This window comes from Homo sapiens, chromosome X, assembly GCF_000001405.40.
Source record: "Homo sapiens chromosome X, GRCh38.p14 Primary Assembly".
Lineage (NCBI taxonomy): Eukaryota > Metazoa > Chordata > Mammalia > Primates > Hominidae > Homo > Homo sapiens.
Genome location: NC_000023.11, coordinates 8,923,476 through 8,941,666, shown reverse-complemented (window position 1 = coordinate 8,941,666; position 18,191 = coordinate 8,923,476). Strand labels below are relative to the sequence as shown.

At 41.0% G+C, this 18,191-nt stretch overlaps 1 long non-coding RNA gene across 2 annotated transcripts; it reads left to right on the top strand.

Moving 5' to 3' along the window:
• Nucleotides 1-14,455: 14,455 nt before the first annotated feature.
• Nucleotides 14,456-17,974, top strand: LINC03114 (long intergenic non-protein coding RNA 3114). 2 transcript variants are annotated; one of them, XR_950506.3, is made up of 4 exons: nucleotides 14,456-14,768; nucleotides 15,877-15,994; nucleotides 16,292-16,356; nucleotides 16,921-17,974. It is a non-coding gene; the product is annotated as a long intergenic non-protein coding RNA 3114 (long non-coding RNA). The 2 variants fall into 2 exon arrangements; XR_950505.3 differs by having other exon boundaries at nucleotides 16,090-16,356.
• Nucleotides 17,975-18,191: the final 217 nt, after the last annotated feature.

The following is an 18,191-nucleotide window of genomic DNA, read 5'->3' as shown; positions in this document are numbered from 1 at the left end:
GACACTGGATTAGAACAATGTTTTTCCTGTGGTCTTTCTCATGTCAGTTCCTCCCCTCTTTGTTTAAAAATAAAAGACAAAACACATCGACTCAGATTTAAAACACATTGAACACATAAGGTATAGACTTTTAGCATTGAAGATCTTACACCTTTATAACCACAGGCTTAGAGACTAGGGAAATAACACAAATTGAGCACCGATCCCATACAAGACTTGGCAGTAGGTTCCTTACATGTATAAGCTCAGTAATACAATTGTACATGTGTGGTAGATGCATTTTAGAGAAGAGATAAGGGCTCAGAGAAGATGAGTGATTTGTACATTAAACTCTCAAGAATTTCACTAGGGGAAATAAATACTCTTGTGACAGGAAAAAGGGAAAGAGCCAGAGAAGGCCATCAGAGGGTTCTGATCCCACTAGAATCTGACCTGGAATGGAGGAGAAAGAGAAAGTCGAGTGGAAACATTCCAGACTGCCTTGAACTCTCAGGAAGTTTCAGTCAAGCTATTGGGAGTCCTTGAACCAAAGTGTGCAGACGAAGACATCCCAAGTCTCCTAGAATGGGTCTGTGTCAGTGCTGCCACTAAATCTAATCATCAGCGAGAGCTGCTCACAGGAGGCATTACTTCACTGCAAACACAGGGATTCTAAAGCAGGGGTTCTTGGCCCCTCACACTCTCTGCCTTGAGACATGGCCGAGAAGCACCCTCAAGCTGGCATATAACGTTCAAGTGCTTGGCTTCTCCCGAGAGCAAAGCAGAGCCACTGTGAGACGTTAAGCAGTGACACAACCAGATGACTGCTTTACAAAGATCAATCTGTAGCTACATTGAGGGTAGACTGGAAAGAGAAAATCTAGAGGTCATGGGAGTCAGCAGAGTGGTTATTTGCAATGATTCCATGAGGGTATAAAAAGGATCTTCCTTGTATGTGCCGAGGTGAACGATTCCAGAAATACGTCCAAGGAAAATTTGTGTGGCTTGTGATCCACTGGAGGAGAGCAAGGGATGAAGATGGTGGCAAGGGGTGCCTATTGGTGAGGGGCTGGGGAAATGACTCATGTAGTTTTAGGGAGATGATGAGGGAAGAAGCTCCACATGGAGATACCTAGGAAGGTGCCGAAATATAGTTTGGAGTCTAGAGGAGAAGATGGGGCTGGAGATCGAGATGTGGGAGGGAGGAACAAAGATAGGTATGATTGGAACTCATGAGAGCAGATGAAGATGACAGGACTAGGACTCCTGGAGAGCTGTGGTCTTTCAGAGCAAGTGGAGGACAACTCATTGCAAGTTAGCATGGAGTTGTAATTTGGATTTGAATTAGAAGAAAGTGATAGAGTAATAGTTGAATGAACAGAGGTTTTGTAGAGAAAGACTTAAAAAAGCCATGAAAAAGCTAGAGAGGCAAAGATGGATGAGGGCTGCAAAGAATTCATTGCATTTAGCAAGTAGGAAGTCAATGGCATCCCCAACAGAAGCATCAACTTTTAGTTGAGCAGCTGTTACATGTGCTGTAGTTTGAATGTGTGCATCTCACCAAAATTCATAAGTTGGAAACTAAACCCCAAGCTGACAGTATTAAGAGGTGGGCTCTTCAGTATGTGATTAGGTCATGGAGGCACTGCCCTCATGAAGGGATTATGCCCTTATAAGGGCCTTTTCCACCACTGAAGACACAGCAAGAAGGTGCCATCTTGGAACAGAGGGCAGCCCTCACCAGACACTCAATCTGCCAGCGCCTTGATCTTGGACTTCACAGCTTCCAGAGCTGTGAGCAATAGACCTCTGTTTATATAAATTACCCCATCTAAGGTATTTTGCTACAGCAACAGGAATGAAGTATGAAAATGTGCAAAAATGAATTTTGGATAAATAACAATGAGGATGTTTTATTTTTAGTGTTAGTTTTCAAAGATCTTTTTATTTATGTCTATTTATTTGTTAAAACTCCACAAATTCCCTCACAATTCTCCACAAATTATTATTTCCATGTGATAAGCGAGAAAAGAAAGGGACAGGATAGTGACACTGTGGTCAGAGAGTAATTACCAGTGGAACTGTAATCCTCAAAGCCAGGTGCACTCATTCTCCAGCTTTGCAGGAAAGACTGCTGCCAGACATTTGTCACCTGTCCCATATTGATGACTCACCCTTTCTGGGACGCTTGTGCTTCTTCAATATGATCGGAGTTAGAGGTATCAAAAGGTTTTTAATCTGGTCTTATGTTTTGCTTCCCTGTAACATTTAATTAATTTAAAAGGAGCCAATTATGTGCTGTTACACATGGGTTAGCTTCTGCTGTGCATGCACCAAAGATTGTTTTATAGAATTATTTCTCTTTTGCCCTAATTGTCCAAAAGTGAGTGAGTCACTGAACTTTGAGAAGCTTCTATCTCTTGTTACAGCTATTAAATTGACGCCTGTCTCAAATGGAAAAACACATAGTGGAAAATTTTAAGATATGCTGCTTGCATCTGCTCAGCCAGGAAAAACCCACAGTAGCATAACGTGCTCCTTGTCTGTGCAAACCCATTGGATAATGGTGTGTTTCACTAGACATTTGCACACACCCTTACCTGAGTTATGCCTGCTCTTGTCTTTTCCTTGGCACATCAGTATGTGTGTATCTTTTATATTTTCCTGTTGTAAGTATGTCCACTGGGCTCTTTGAAAATTTGGCCTAAGGTACAGTTTGGGTTGTCATATTTGTTTCCCATACCTAAAACATGCAGTTACATCATTTTCTAATTATTATTATGATCATGTGGAGAATTAGTAATGGATGGATACTCAGCCTACTTATTTTGGATCTGGAAATCCAATTTGGATGGAAAGAACAAATCTGTGGAGTCCTAATAAAATAAGTAAGCAACAATGAGGCCCCAGATGGGGAAGAGCAATGAACAATTGTTCTGAAAAATAACCGGCAGGCACAACAACCTTGTTCCCCAGGCATAAGAACAGTAAGAACAGGGTTGCACAGGCACAATGACCTTGTTCTGTGGGCACAATGACCTCGTTCAGCAGACAGCCCCCTCCAGCACAACCTTATGAAACTTCCCTCCAGCCTCTGTCTCTTTGCAGACAGCGCCTTCTCTGCTTTGCTGCCTTGCAACATATTTTCATACTTTTTCTAATAAATCTGACTTTCTTTACCCATCTTGGTAAATTCCTTTACCACCTATGCCACCAGCCACAGATAGTCACTACCCATGACAAAATCTAGTAGTTGAAATCAAATGTGTTACTGGGGGCTTCACATTCAAATAAAAGGCACAACAATATCAGATTTTTTGCAAAGATGACCAGCCTAGTAGAGAAGTAACTTTCTAAGACAGCCATTGTCACCTGCAGAGCTAGGCCAAGGAAAAGTATGACATCAGTTACTTAACTTAGTTTTAGATCCTTCCATTTTCACTTCTGACCTATTCCTTTTTGCTCTTTCTTCAGTAAGTAGCCAATCCTTTCTTGCTATTCCACAACTCTTTCTGGCCCATAAAAAATTCTTATAAGCAAAATGTGCAAACCACAGTGCCTTACCTTTCTCAAAACAATCATCATTTGGAGAGGCCAATGCTCAATGGAAAAAGAAAATTATTTGTATCCATAAAATTTCCAGCTTCTGGTGCAGCAAGAGGGGCATCAATTTCTGTGTAGGGAACCTCAAATCCTGCCATTGAACATAAAAAAAAGATCCTATTCCTTGGAGGTGTTCCTGCTTTTGCTGGGCAAGCCAATAATAGGGATGCAATCAATGCTTTGTGATTCAATGCCTGTTACAGGTCAGTGAAAAAATGAATTCAGAATTGGTGGCTGGCAAGATGGCCAAATAGGAACAGCTCCGGTCTGCAGCTACCAGCAAGATCAACACAGAAAGTGAGTGATTTCTGCATTTCCAACTGAGGTACCCGGCTCATCTCATTGGGACTGGTTAGACAGTGGGCGCAGCCCATGGAGGGTGAGCTGAAGCAGGGTGGGGCATCACCTCACCCAGGAAGCAACAAAGAGTTGGGGAACTCCCTCCCCTAGCCAAGACAAGCCATGAGGGACTGTGCTGTGAGAAACAGTGCATTCTGACCCAGATAGTATGCTTTTCCCATGGTCTTCGCAACCTGTAGACCAGGAGATTCTCTTGGAGGCCTACACCACCAGGGCCCTGGGTTTCAAGCACAAAACTGGGCAGCCATTTGGGCAGACACCGAGCTAGCTGCAGGAGTTTTTTTCATACCTCAGTGGTGCCTGGAACGCCAGTGAGACAGAACTGTTCACTCCCCTGGAAAGGGGGCTGAAGCCAGGGAGCCAAGTGGTCTAGCTCAGTAGATCCCACCCCCATGGAGGCCAGCAAGCAATGATCCACTGGTTTGAAATTCTCACTACCAGTATAGCAGTCTGAAGTAGACCTGGGATGCTCCAGCTTGGTGGGAGGAGGGGCATCTGTCATTACTGAGGCTTGAGTAGGTGGTTTTCCCCTCACAGTGTAAACAAAGCCACTGGGAAGTTCAAACTGGACGGAGCCCACCACAGCTTGGCAAAGCTGCTGTAGCCAGACTGCCTCTCTAGAGTCCTCCTCTCTGGGCAGGGCATCTCTGAAAGAAAGGCAGCAGCCCCTTTCCGGGGCTTATAGATAAAACTCCCATCTCCCTGGGACAGAGCACCTGGTAGAAGGGGTGGCAGTGGACGCAGCTTCAGCAGACTGAAACGTTCCTGCCTGCCAGCTCTGAAGAGAGTAGCAGATCTCCCAGCACAGTGCTTAAGCTCTGCTAAGGGACAGACTGCCTCCTCAAGTGGATCCCTGACCCCCATGCCTCCTGATGGGGAGACACCTCCCAGCAGGTGTCAAAAGACACCTCATACAGGAGAGCTCCAGCTGGCATCTGGCAGGTGCCCCTCTGGGATGAAGTTTGCAGAGGAAGGAACAGGCAGCAATCTTTGCTGTTCTGCAGCCTCCGCTGCAGGATCTGGCAAACAGGATCTGGAGTGGACCTCTAGCAAACTCCAGCAGACCTGCAGAAGAGGGGCCTGACTGTTAGAAGGAAAACTAACAAACAGAAAGGAAGAGCACATCCACTCAGAGACCCCATCCGAAGGTCACCAACATCAAAGACCAAAGGTAGATAAATCCACAAAGATGGGGAGAATCCAGCGCAAAAAAAAAAAAAAAAAAAGACTGAAAATTCCAAAAACCAGAACACCTCCTCTCCTCCAAAGGATCACAACTCACCAGCAAGGGAACAAAATTGGACAGAGAATGAGTTTGATGAATTGACAGAAGTAGGCTTCAGGAGGTGGGTAATAACAAACTCCTCCAAGCTAAAGGAGCATGTTCCAACCCTATGCAAGGAAGCTAAGAACCTTGGAAAAAGGTTAGATGAATTACAAACTAGAATAACCAGTTTAGAGAGGAACATAAATGACTTGATGGAGCTGAAAAGCACAACATAAGAACTTTGTGAAGCATTCACAAGTATTAATAGTCGAATTGATCAAGTGGAAGAAAGGATATCAGAGATTGAAGATCAACTTAATGAAATAAAGTGAGAAGACAAGATTAGAGAAAAAAAAATAAAAAGTCAAGACCCATTGGTGTGCTGTATTCAGGAGACCCATCTCACGTGCAAAGAAACACATAGGCTCGAAATAAAGGGATGGAGGAATATTTATCAAGCAAATGGAAAGCAAAAAACAGCAGGGTTTGCAATCTGAGTCTCTGATAAAAACAGACTTTAAACCAACAAAGATCAAAAAGGACAAAGAAGTGCATTATGTAATGGTAAAGGGATCAATGCAACAAGAAGAGCTAACTATCCTAAATATACATGCACTCAATACAGGAGCAGCCAGATTCATAAAGCAAGTTCTTAGAGACCTACAAAGAGACTTAGATTCCCACACAATAGTGGGAGACTTTAACACCCCACTGTCAATATTAGACAGATCAATGGACAGAAAATGAATGAGGATATTAAGGACTTGAACTCAGCTCTGGACCAAGCAAACCTAACAGACATCTACAGAACTCTCCACCCCAAATCAACAGAATATGCATTCTTCTCAGCACCACATCGCACTTATTCTAAAACTGACCACATAATTGGAAGTAAAACACCTCAGCAAATGCAAAAGAACCGAAATCATAACAGTTTCTCAAACCACAGGACGATCAAATTAGAACTCAGGATTAAGAAACTCACTCAAAACCACACGGCTACATGGAAACTGAACAATATGCTCCTGAACGACTACTGGGTAAATAATGAAATTAAGGCAAAATTAAATAAGTTCTTTGAAACCAATGAGAACAAAGACACAATGTACCAGAATCTCTGGGACACAGCTAATGCAGTGTTGAGAGGGAAATTTATAGCACTAAATGCCCACAGGAGAAAGCGGAAAAGATCTAAAATTGACACCCTAACATCACAATTAAGAACTGGAGAAGCAAGAACAAACAAATTCAAAACCTAGCAGAAGACAAGAAATAACTAAGATCAGAGTAGAACTGAAGGGTATAGAGACACGAGAAACCCTTCAAAAAATAAATGAATCTGGGAGCTGGTTTTTTGAAAAGATAAACAAAATAGATAGACTGCTAGCCAGAATAATAAAGGAGAAAAGAGAGAAGAATAAAACAGACACAATAAAAAATGATAAAGGGGCTATCACCACTGATCCCACAGAAATACAAACTACCATAAGAGAATACTATAAACTCCTCTATGCAAATAAACTAGAAAATCTAGAAGAAACGGATAAATTCCTGGACACATACACCCTGCCAAGTCTCAGCCAGGAAGAATTTGAATCCCTGAATAAGCCAATAACAAGTTCTGAAATTGAGGCAGTAATTAATAGCCTACCAACCAAAAAAAGCCCAGGACCAGATGGATTCACAGCCGAATTCTACCAGAGGTATAAAGAGGAGCTGGTACCATTCCTTCTGAAACTATTTCAAACAATAGAAAAAGAGGGACCCCTCCCTAATTCATTTTATGAGGCCAGCATCATCCTGATAACAAAACCTGGTAGAGACACAACAAAAAAAGAAAATTTCAGGCCAATATCCCTGATGAACATTGATGCGAAAATCCTCAATTAAATACTGGCAAACGGAATCCAGCAGCACATCAAAAAGCTTATCCACCATGATCAAGTCAGCTTCATCCCTAGGATGCAAGGCTGATTCAACATATGCAAATCAATAAATGTAATCCATCACATAAACAGAACCAATGACAAAAACCACATGATTATTTCAATAGATGCAGAAAAGGCCTTCGATAAAATTCAACACCCCTTTATGCTAAAAACTCTTAATAAACTAGGTATTGATGGAATGTATCTCAAAATAATAAGAGCTATTTATGACAAACCCACAGCCAATATCATACTGAATGGGCGAAAATGGAAGCATTCCCTTTGAAAACCAGCACAAGACAAGAATGCCCTCTCTCACCACTCCTATTAAACTTAGTATTGGAAATTCTGGCCAGGGCAATCAGGCAAAAGAAAGAAATAAAGGGTATTCAAATAGGAAGAGAGGAAGTCAAATTGTTTCTGCAGATGACATGATTGTATATTTAGAAAACACCATCGTCTCAGCCCAAAATCTCCTTAAGCTGATAAGCAAATTCAGCAAAGTCTCAGGATACAAAATCCATGTGCAAAAATCACAAGCATTCCTATACACCAATAATAGACAAACAGGGAGCCAAATCATGAGTGAAATCCTATTCACAATTCCTACAATGAGAATAAAATACCTAGGGATACAACTTAAATGGGATGTGAAGGACCTCTTCAAGGGGAACTACAAACCACTGCTCAAGGAAATAAGAGAGGACACAAACAAATGGAAAAACATTCCGTGCTCATGGATAGGAAGAATCAATATCATGAAAATGGCCATATTGCCCAAAGTAATTGATAGATTCAACACTATCCTCATCAAGCTACCATTGACTTTCTTCACAGAATTAGAAAAAACTACTTTAAATTTCATATGGAACCAAAAAAGAGCCTGTATAGCTAAGACAATCCTAAGCAAAAAGAGCAAAGCTGGAGGTATCAAGCTACCTGACTTCAAACTATACTACAAGGCTACGGCAATCAAAACAGCGTGATACTGGTACCAAAACAGATATATAGACCAATGGAACAAAACAGAGGCCTCAGAAATAATGCCAAACATCTACAGCCATCAGATCTTTGACAAACGTGACAAAAACAAGCAATGGGGAAAGGATTCCCTATTTAATAAATGGTGTTGGGAAAACTGGCTAGCCACATGCAGAAAACTGAAACTGGACCCCTTCTTCGCACCTTACACAAAAATTAACTCAAGATGTTTTAATGGCTTAAACATAAGACCTAAAACCATAAAAACCCTAGAAGAAAACCTAGGCATTACCATTCAGGACATAGGCATGGGCAAAGACTTCAATACTAAAACACCAAAAGCAATGGCAGCAAAAGCCAAAATTGATAAAATGCGATCTAATTACACTAAAGAGCTTCTGCACAGCAAAAGAAACTATCATGAGAGTGAACAGGCAACCTAGAGAATGGGAGAAAATTTTTGCAATCTACCCATCTGACAAAGGGGTAATATCCAGAATCTACAAGAAACTTAAACAAATTTACAAGAAAAAACAAACAACCCCATCAAAAATGGGCAAAGGATATGAACAGACACTATTCAAAAAAAGACATTTATGTGGCAAACAAACATATGAAAAAAAAGCTCGTCATCACCAGTCATTAGAGAAATGCAAATCAAAACCACAACGAGGTACCATCTCTAGCTAGTTAGAATGGTGATCATTAAAAAGTCAGGAAACAACAGATGCTGGAGAGGATGTGGAGAAATAGGAATGCTTTTACACTGTTGGTGGGAGTGTAAATTAGTTCAACCATTGTGGAAGACAGTCTGGTGATTCCTCAAAGTCTAGAACCAGAAATACCATTTGATCCAGCAATCCCATTACTGGATATATACCCAAAGGATTATAAATCGTTCTACTATAAGGACGCAAGCACACATATGTTTATTGCAGCACTATTTGCAACAGCAAAGACTTGGAACTAACCCAAATGCCCATCAATGATAGACTGGATAAAGAAAATGTGGCACAGATATGCCACAGAATATTATGCAGCCATAAAAAAGGATGGGTTCATATCCTTTGCAGGGACATGGATGAAGCTGGAAACAATCATTCTCAGCAAACTACACAGGAACAGAAAGCCAAACACCGCATGTTGTCACTCGTAAGTAGGAGGTGAACAGTGAGAACACATGGACACAGGGAGGGGAACATCACACACTGGGGCCTGTAGGGGGGTTGGGGGTTAGGGGAGGGATAGCATTAGGAGAAATACCTAATGTAGATGATGGGTTGGTGGGTGCAGCAAACCACCATGGCACGTGTATACCTATGTGACAAACCTGCATGTTTTGCACATGTATCCCAGAACTTAAAGTATAAGAATTAAAAAAAAAATTTTCAACACCCCCACCAAAAATATATGTATATATACAGCATTAAGAACTGCCATTACTTAGAACTAGTTATCATTTGGACAGAAAACAGAAAAACTTCTAAATAGTATGTCCATTTTCTAAAGATAATAATTCAAAAGACTTCCTTGTAGGGCTCAACAGCCCAAATAGTTTAAAAATTACATTGTAATTAAAAACCATATGAATCAGAACTAAAAAAAAGTGAATTTAGAATCACAAAGAAGATTCATTCTCTGCTCTTAAATGGAATTGGAGAAATGGAATTTCAATACAAAAAACAAATACATAGCAAAAGAGAAGTTTATAAATATCATTAGAAGGCCATGTAAAGAATCCTGGGATTCAGGGTATCAGAAAAGCTTGCATGGAGGTCGTGGCTTTAGAGATGGAATTATGGGAGGAGTAAACTCTCAACATGTAGAAATTGTTATGTTCTAGGCCACAGAACAGCACATAGACCTCTGCACAAAGACAAAGACTCGAAGTGCAAATTTGATAGTAGAGATAACAAACATTTAGGGGAGACATTAAAGAGGATGGGAGGAACCAGAGGTAGGGAGACCCCAACTTTACATGATATCATGGACAGAGCCTTGAGCAGGAGAGAAAGCATTCATACATGACTGTGTCCTACAACTTTCCCAGCCTCCTAACTGTGGCCAGACCCAGAAACTCAACTGCAAACTGCTCCATTTCCTAACAAGGCAGTAATCTCATTATGTTAAGGGATTACACAAGGGTTGTATTGTCAACAGGGGCACAGGGAATAGCACATTGACTATGAATTAGTTAACATCAGTGGCATTGGAAGAGAAAAAAGCAATTGACCATGTTCAATACTCATTGCTGTAAAACCCACTCATTGGAAATTTTTAATGCAATCTCTGGCTGGCCTGGGACTTACCTTTCTCCTGCTGATGAGGATGTATATACTCAGCAAATTAATTGTGTTAGCACAGCTCAGCCTTCTCAAGCATCTTAAGCCAGGGTGGCAGAGCTAATATTTGCAGACAAACATTAAGTGGCTTCCAAAGGATTTTGTCTATTAATGAAAATAGGTGCCATTTGGTAATGGCATCTCAACCATTTTTGCTATTATTTTTGTTGAGAGTGACCAGATAGCCAAAAAAGGAAAACTGAACAGGTGAGGCTGTAAATTCCCTGGACTGATGGCATTCACATGTGCACAGAGGATGCTTACAGCATATCCTTCCGAGTAGATAATGACATGCTAGGTTTCAGGGAGAAGCCATAGATTTCAGTCATTTTTCTGAATGCTTCACAGACCCAAGGCTGTAGAAACCTTTGGGCTGCTGTTGCTTCCTCATGGGGTTGCTGCCGAGACCTGGCACCAGTGCACCTGATGCGCTTTTGCTGGTTAACGCAGGTGACCTTTCCTCAGTGTCTCTGCAGGAAGACGGATCACTGTCTGGGCTCAGGGAAGAGGTTCCAATCCACAGTTTTAGGTCTCCAACTTATAGCCTTTTACCTCATCCCCACTTGCCCAATCATTGTCCCCAAGGTGGCTGCTCAGGGGAACCCCTGTGCTTGGCCACTGGCTTTGTCAAATCCAGCTCTTCCCTATCACTCTTTACGTCCTATAATGAGTACAGAACACCAGCCTGGATGAACCGTCCCCTCAAAGGGGCTCTTGGTGTTGTCATCTGCCAACAAGCCATCCTCATTTGATGGGAGGTTCCAAATGCGTTTCACTTAGAAAAGGACTTTTTGTGGTTACCTTTCTGATATTTGGGGCTATTAATAATTTCTGTGTAAATTGGCCAATGGCTCTGATACCAGGGGTAAGTGGAAGGGCTGGTGTTTGTCAAAGGCCTGAGTGGGGGAAGAGAGAAGTTCTGTATCTCCTTCTCCAGGGCCCTGGGTTCAGTTTGCTAAGTTAGAAGGGGTGACTCGGCCAGGCGCGGTGGCTAACGTCTGTAGTCCCAGCACTTTGGGAGGCCAAGGCAGGCAGGCAGATCTCGAGGTCAAGAGATGGAGACCATCCTGGCCAACATAGTGAAACCCTGTCTCTACTAAAAATACAAAAATTGGCAGGGTGCGGTGGCTCACGTCTGTAATCCCAGCAGTTTTGGAGGCCGAGGCGGGTGGATCATGAGGTCAGGAGTTCGAGACTAACCTGGCCAACATGGTGAAACACCGTCTCCACCAAAGATACAAAAAATTAGCTGGGTGTGGTGGTGCTCACCTGTAATCTCAGCTACTCGGGAGGCTGAGGCAGGAGAATCGCTTGAACTTGGGAGGCAGAGGTTGCAGTGAGCTGAGATTGCACCATTGCACTCCAGCCTGGGCAACAAGGCGAGACTCTGTCTCAAAAAAAAAAAAAAAAAAAAAAGAAAGGAAAGAAAAGAAAATTAGCTGAGCGTGGTGGCATGCTCCTGTAGTCCCAGCTGCTCAGGAGACTGAGTCAGGAGAATCACTTGAACCTGGGAGGCGGAGATTGCAGTGCGCCCAGATCGCACCACTGCACTCTGGCCTTGTGACAGAGTGAGACTCCTTCTAAAAAACAGAAACAAAACAAAACAAAAAAACAGAAGGGGTGACTCAAGTTGGACATGGTAGAACACAGGTTTGCAATTTCTGTGTAGGAGAAATTACAATTAGAGAAAGTGTTACTTAACATGGCATTAAAGCTTTTTAGCATTTTCTTATCAGCCAATCCCCTAATCTCCCTTCTCTGTTGATGTTACCATTGTTTCAGTTAGCCTTTTCTCTTTTACATTAAAAACATGTAATAAGATATTTGACCTGGTTCCATATTTTTGCAATTGCAAAGTGTGCTGCTATAAACATCCATGTGCAAGTATCTTTTTCTTTCTTCTTTTTTTTTTTGAGATGGAGTCTCGCTCTGTTGCCGCAAGTATCTTTTTCATATAATGACTTCTTTTCCTCTGGGTAGATAACTAGTAGTGGGATTGCTGGGCCCAAATGCCCATCAATCAACAAGTGGATAAAGAAAATGTGGTGTACATATATACCATGGAATACTACTCAGCCATAAAAAGGAATGAAATAATGACATTTGCAGCAACCTGGATGGAATGAGAGGCTATTACTCTAAGTGAAGTAACCCAGAAATGGAAAACCAAACATTGCACGTTTTCTCTCATAAGTGGGAGCTATGAGAACGCAAAGGCATAAGAGTGACACATTGGACTTTGGGGACTCGGGGTAAATGGTGGGGTGGTGGCAAGGGATTAAAGGCTACACATCGGGTACAGTGTACACTAGTGAGTGATGGGTGCACCCAAATCTCAGAAATCACCACTAAAGAACTTCTTCATGTAACCAAACATCACCTGCTCCCTAAAAACCTATTGAAATTAAAAATAAAATAAAATAAAGATATTTGAAAGCAACTTCTTTTACCTCTACTGCTTAGGGCTTAGAACATTTATACTCACTTTAACACAAATTCATAGTCTTGTGAATTATTTGATAAATTATTGAAAATTTAAGAGAGAAAAGTATCTCTTGCAATTTATTTTGAGAATTTATTGTTTTCCTTGAGATGTACAGATGTGTATATCACCACGACTTTATACTGCACACATCTGAAAAACTAAACATCAATACGTTTGAATCAGAGGAAGAAGAAATGTTTGCTTGGAGTTGATTCCCTGTTTCTTCATTTCTTATTCCACACATCTAATCAGATGCTGGTTATGTAAGCTCTGTCTTGCATGGCGTCCCTCCTCCCTAATGCTTTTTGAAGTGATGGGTGGGTTTTGAAGAGTTTTTCAGTGGTTAATTTGTGAAGACGTGAGAGAGTGGGGTATCTTTCTTCCAGGACTCCTCTCAATTTTTGTATAATGGCCTCCTCATGCGACTGACCTGAGAGCGGTGACCATGCCCCCTGGAGGTCCTGCTTCCTACAACGGCAGTTGGAGGATGCTGGTGCCTGAATGCTGTCATCGGTTCAAAACTTTCTTCAATCGCAGCAGACTACTCATTCCTCCCAGATCTACTGACTTTCTGATTTGAGCAAGTAGGAGAAAAGTTTTCAAATAGTGCTTATATTTTAAATTTGCTTTCCTATAATCGTGTTCAAATGTCTAGTGAGATGAAGTGATGTTTTTCTTAAATGCTGGTAACATTTATAATTTGTTTCAGAGCCAAGTAAGATTCAAAAAGGCTGAGACTTTTCTTTTTTTAAAGCTGGAATTCTCCCTGGATTTGTGCCACTCTCTGTAGAAAAGGAAAGGAGAAAATAAATCACTAACATTAGACCTCTGACGGCTGGCACAGAAGGCTGTGTGGAGTCTCCGCCACCAGGGAGAGCGCTGCGGGGTCTGCAGCGGGAGACAACAGTTGTTGCTCTATATACAGACTTTACATGCAGCCAAAAAAAATTTAAATAAATAAAAGAAAGAGGGAGAGAGAGAGAGGGAGACAGCAGTGGCGGGAGGAGAGAGAGAGGGAGAAAGGAAGAAAGAAAAGAAGGAGGAATGTTTCAGTCAATCAAATGTTTATTGTGAAACATACTATGGAGCTACAAAGTCTCACAGGTATAGTTTTGTATGTAGGTGATAAATGCCCAGGGAGTAGCAAGGCTATTCCGAATGAACAGAAGCCAGTAAACCATTCAACAAATATTTAGTGGGGTTTAATGATGTGCTAAGCACAGTCTGGGCATGGCCAACACTCATATATCCATAAGAGAGACAAAGTTACAGTCCTTAAAAGATTTGCGTTTCGTTATGGGAGACCCTGATCATAAACAAGAAATGATGACACAATACCCTAATGGAGCGTACCACTTGGGTAAATCCCAGGGGTTATAGGAGCAAGTAGAAGAGAAATTAACCCAGTTAAGGGTGATGGAGGGAGGAGGAGGGAGGAGTCTGAGAAAGACAAAGGAGAAGAAATGTCTAATCTGAGATCCCAAAGGGAGGCCCAACTGAAACAGGGAGAGGGGCGTTTCATAGAGAGGAGACAGTACATGGGAAGCCACCAAGTCTAAAGGAAACATGGCACCTTCTGAGAGGCTGATAGTGCTTTGACATGGCTGTAGCCTTGCTTAGAATCAATTTTCCATCTAAAATCTCTCTGTTCTCACTCTTACAACAATGAAAAGCCATTGAGCAGTATCAGCTGGGCATAGATAACATCGAGTTTGCATTTTCAAAGATCCTCCTGGTCAAAATGTGGAGTTAGGAGTGTGGATGATGTCCAAGACATTTGCAGTTTTCCAAGTGTAACAAGATGCAAGCTTGCCAGAGAAAAGGTGAGTGTGGTTGTTATAGCAACCCTAGGGAGCTAATATAGATAGACTTTGGAAATTTCTGATGTAGTTGCCATTTACTGAGAAGGAATGGTTACTGATGTCTTGGGGACACTGTTTTTTTTTCTTATTTATCAATTTATTTATGGTTCTACATCCTTCCCTATTGGGCTTAGATTATATGTTCCATCTCTTCAAATATTTTATCAATATTTTTCACATTTGTTCTTCTGTCCAACCTGCTTGGCAACAGTACTTCAGTCCTGGATGCCCCCATTTAATACAAGCCTGTGTCTTGGGGAGAGGAGCCTTCTGTAGAATGTTATAAAATCATGCATTTGGATTCCATTATAGATTATTGATTTCCACTCTCTGGAGGGCATGCAGAGTTCCATATACACCGTTCCTGTTTCCATGATCACTTTCTCCTAATCTCTATGGGCTTCTGCCTTCTTCCTGTTTCTCATATCTCTCCCCTCTCCCTACCTGGCCCACCATCCAATTTCTACCAGTTTGAAGCAGGTCATCCCACAATCTTCAAAATGGAAGGAAATGCAATCAACTTCCTGCTGCAAAACTATAGATATAAGGATCTACACCTGTTGTTTCCTTCCTATCATACCTTCTAACAGAATAAATTCTTCCACCCACCAGCTCCCTTTCACTTGCAAGACTAACCCTGACCTCGACGCACTGGACTTCATTTCCTCTTCCTTGTCTTCTGTGGATTCATGCTTAAGTGATTTCTCCAACTTCTCCTGTACTTTCTGCTTTTTCTAATCTACTTGCTCCTTTGAAACGAGGTCAAGTTTTCCCTCTCTTTAAAAACAAACCTAGCTGGGCATGGTGGCTCATGCCTGTGGTTCCAGCTACTTGGGAAGCTGAGGTGGGAGGACTGCTTGAGTCCAGGAGTTCGAGGCTGCAGTGACTTATGATTACACTACTGCACTCCAGCCTGGCTGTCAGTGAGAGGCCTTGTCTCTAAAAACTAAAAACAAACAAACAAAAAATCCCACCATCACCACCACCAAAAACCAAACCAGCAAAAATCCATTTGTTGATGCCACGTCGCCTTCCAGCTCCTACGTAATCTCTCTTCTTGCTTATGCAGCCAAAATTCCTGAAAATTTTGGAATGTTTTTGAGCACACGGGACTTCACCTTATACATGGAGATGATGGAAAGTGAAAAATTGAAGATGACACCTGGAATAGGGTCTCAGGCAATCAGGTGAATAGTAGTGCTGTTCCTTCATTCTGGGGGGACCAGGGAGGGGAGCCGGTTTGGAGGCTCTTAGAATCAAGGGTCTGTTTGTTCATTTCAAGTTTGAGCTTTGTAGGCATCCAGAGAAAATAAGAGATGTCTGATGATTAGGCGAGAACTTGAGGCTGAGGACATATCATCATACTACACAGTTGACCCTTGAACAATAAGAATTGGAACTGTGTGAGTCCACTTATACGTGGATTTTCTTCTGCCTCTGCGACTCCTGAGACAGCAAAACCAACCCTTCCTCTTCCTCTTCAGCCTACTCAACATGAAGACAAGGAGGATGAAGAGTTTTGTGATAATCCACTTCCACTTAATGAATAGTAAGTATGTCTTTTCTTCCTTATGATTTTTTCTTTATGACATTTTCTTTTCTCTAGCTTACTTTGTTATAAGAACACAACATATATAATATGTAAAACATACAAAATGTGTGTTAATTGGCTGTTTTTGTTATTGGTAAGGCTTCCACTCAACAGTAGGCTATCAGTAGTCAAGTTTTGGGGGAGTCAAGTTATATTTGGATTTTTCGACTACCCAAGGAGTCGGTGTTCCTAACCCTTGTGTTATTCAAGGGTTAACTGTTTATTGTATATAAAGTTGTGGATAATGGAGGAGGTCACTTAAGAAGTGAATATATATGAAAAAGAATATCTCCAAGGACTCTGAGGTGCCTTGCTGTTATATTTCTGTGACAATTAACATCTGCATTGCCAACTTTGCCTCCATGTATAAAGACATTTTGCTATTATTTTTTCCTCATATTTTCCTTATATTGCTTGCAAAACATTAAAAAATCTAGTGTGTGGTTTCTTGGTTATTACGTGGCTAAGTTAGACAAGGACTCTTGCATTATTGAGTGCTTTAATTTCGATTCTCACTTCCAGCAGTTGGAGTCCATCTTCAAGAAATGTTTACAAAGAGCTTCTTCTGGATGGTGTTTGAATGCACACATGCATGAGAACAAGTTTATTTTGCCACTACATTTGAATGAAACCTTGATTATAAAATTCAAGGTTTATAATATTAACATTTTTTCCCTCCAAAATTTGAATATGTTTACTCTTTATCCTTGGGAATTTACTTTTTGGTGGAAAAGTCTGTAATTAGCTTGGTATTTATTTCTTAGTACACAAACGCATGTATTTGCTTGGATGCCAGTAGATATTTTTTATTCCTATAATTCAGACATGTTGTTAGCACTCCCGCACTTCCTTAATTTTATCTCGACAATGACAGGCTTTTTGACCTCTGAATTCAAGTTGTACATTCTAGTTTGCCATTCATCAATCAGTCTCCAGTTAATGACTGCATTTGCTCCAATTATTCTTGCCCTTGACTTGACTCTGGTGAAGGAAGCGTTTGTAATTCTCATGTTGGGACTCTGTCCTCTTACTCATATTCACCCATTGAGGTTTACCCCCTGTTCTTTGCTTCACATCATGGGAGAGAACCATTTTTCTTCATGTCACCAACTTGATCTTCCACAGTGTCAATTTCTCAGGAAAATGGAACTATCTGACTTCCTCCACTGAGGGCTGGAAATTCTACCCTTGAAATTCTATCAAGCCAGAGATTTTCCTTATTTTTCTCCAGTTCTTTCTTTATATCCATGCCAGCTCTGTGTAGTTCATCACATCATCTTTTAATATCAACTCACATGGCAGATTGCTTTTGTTGAAACTATGATTTTATTATTATAAAAGTTCTTCTGTAGAAAACTTTTTAAAGAATGTTCTTTGAATACATTGGTACAACATTCAAACAAACAGAATAATTCTTTTTTAAAAGTGATTTAAAAAGAAATATAAAAATATAAAAGAGGAACTGTGAGATTTGGGGGCCAGAGTGAGACACTATCACATTACTTTAATAGGAGTTTCATAAAAGATAAGTGGCTAGAGAATGGATGGAGTTGTAAATAAACAACATTTGAAAAGATCATGGCCAATGTATTTTTTCAGAAAAATAATATTCAACATGATTCAGAATTGAAATCTTTGTATCAAAAGTACACTCTATGATTTGAAAAGATAAATATAAATCCACTCCATGGCGTATAATAGTTGGCTGCAAACCATTGAGAATGAAGATAAATTCTTAAGATACCACAGAGAAACACTGGATTACCTACCGGGGGATGACAATTCAACTAATG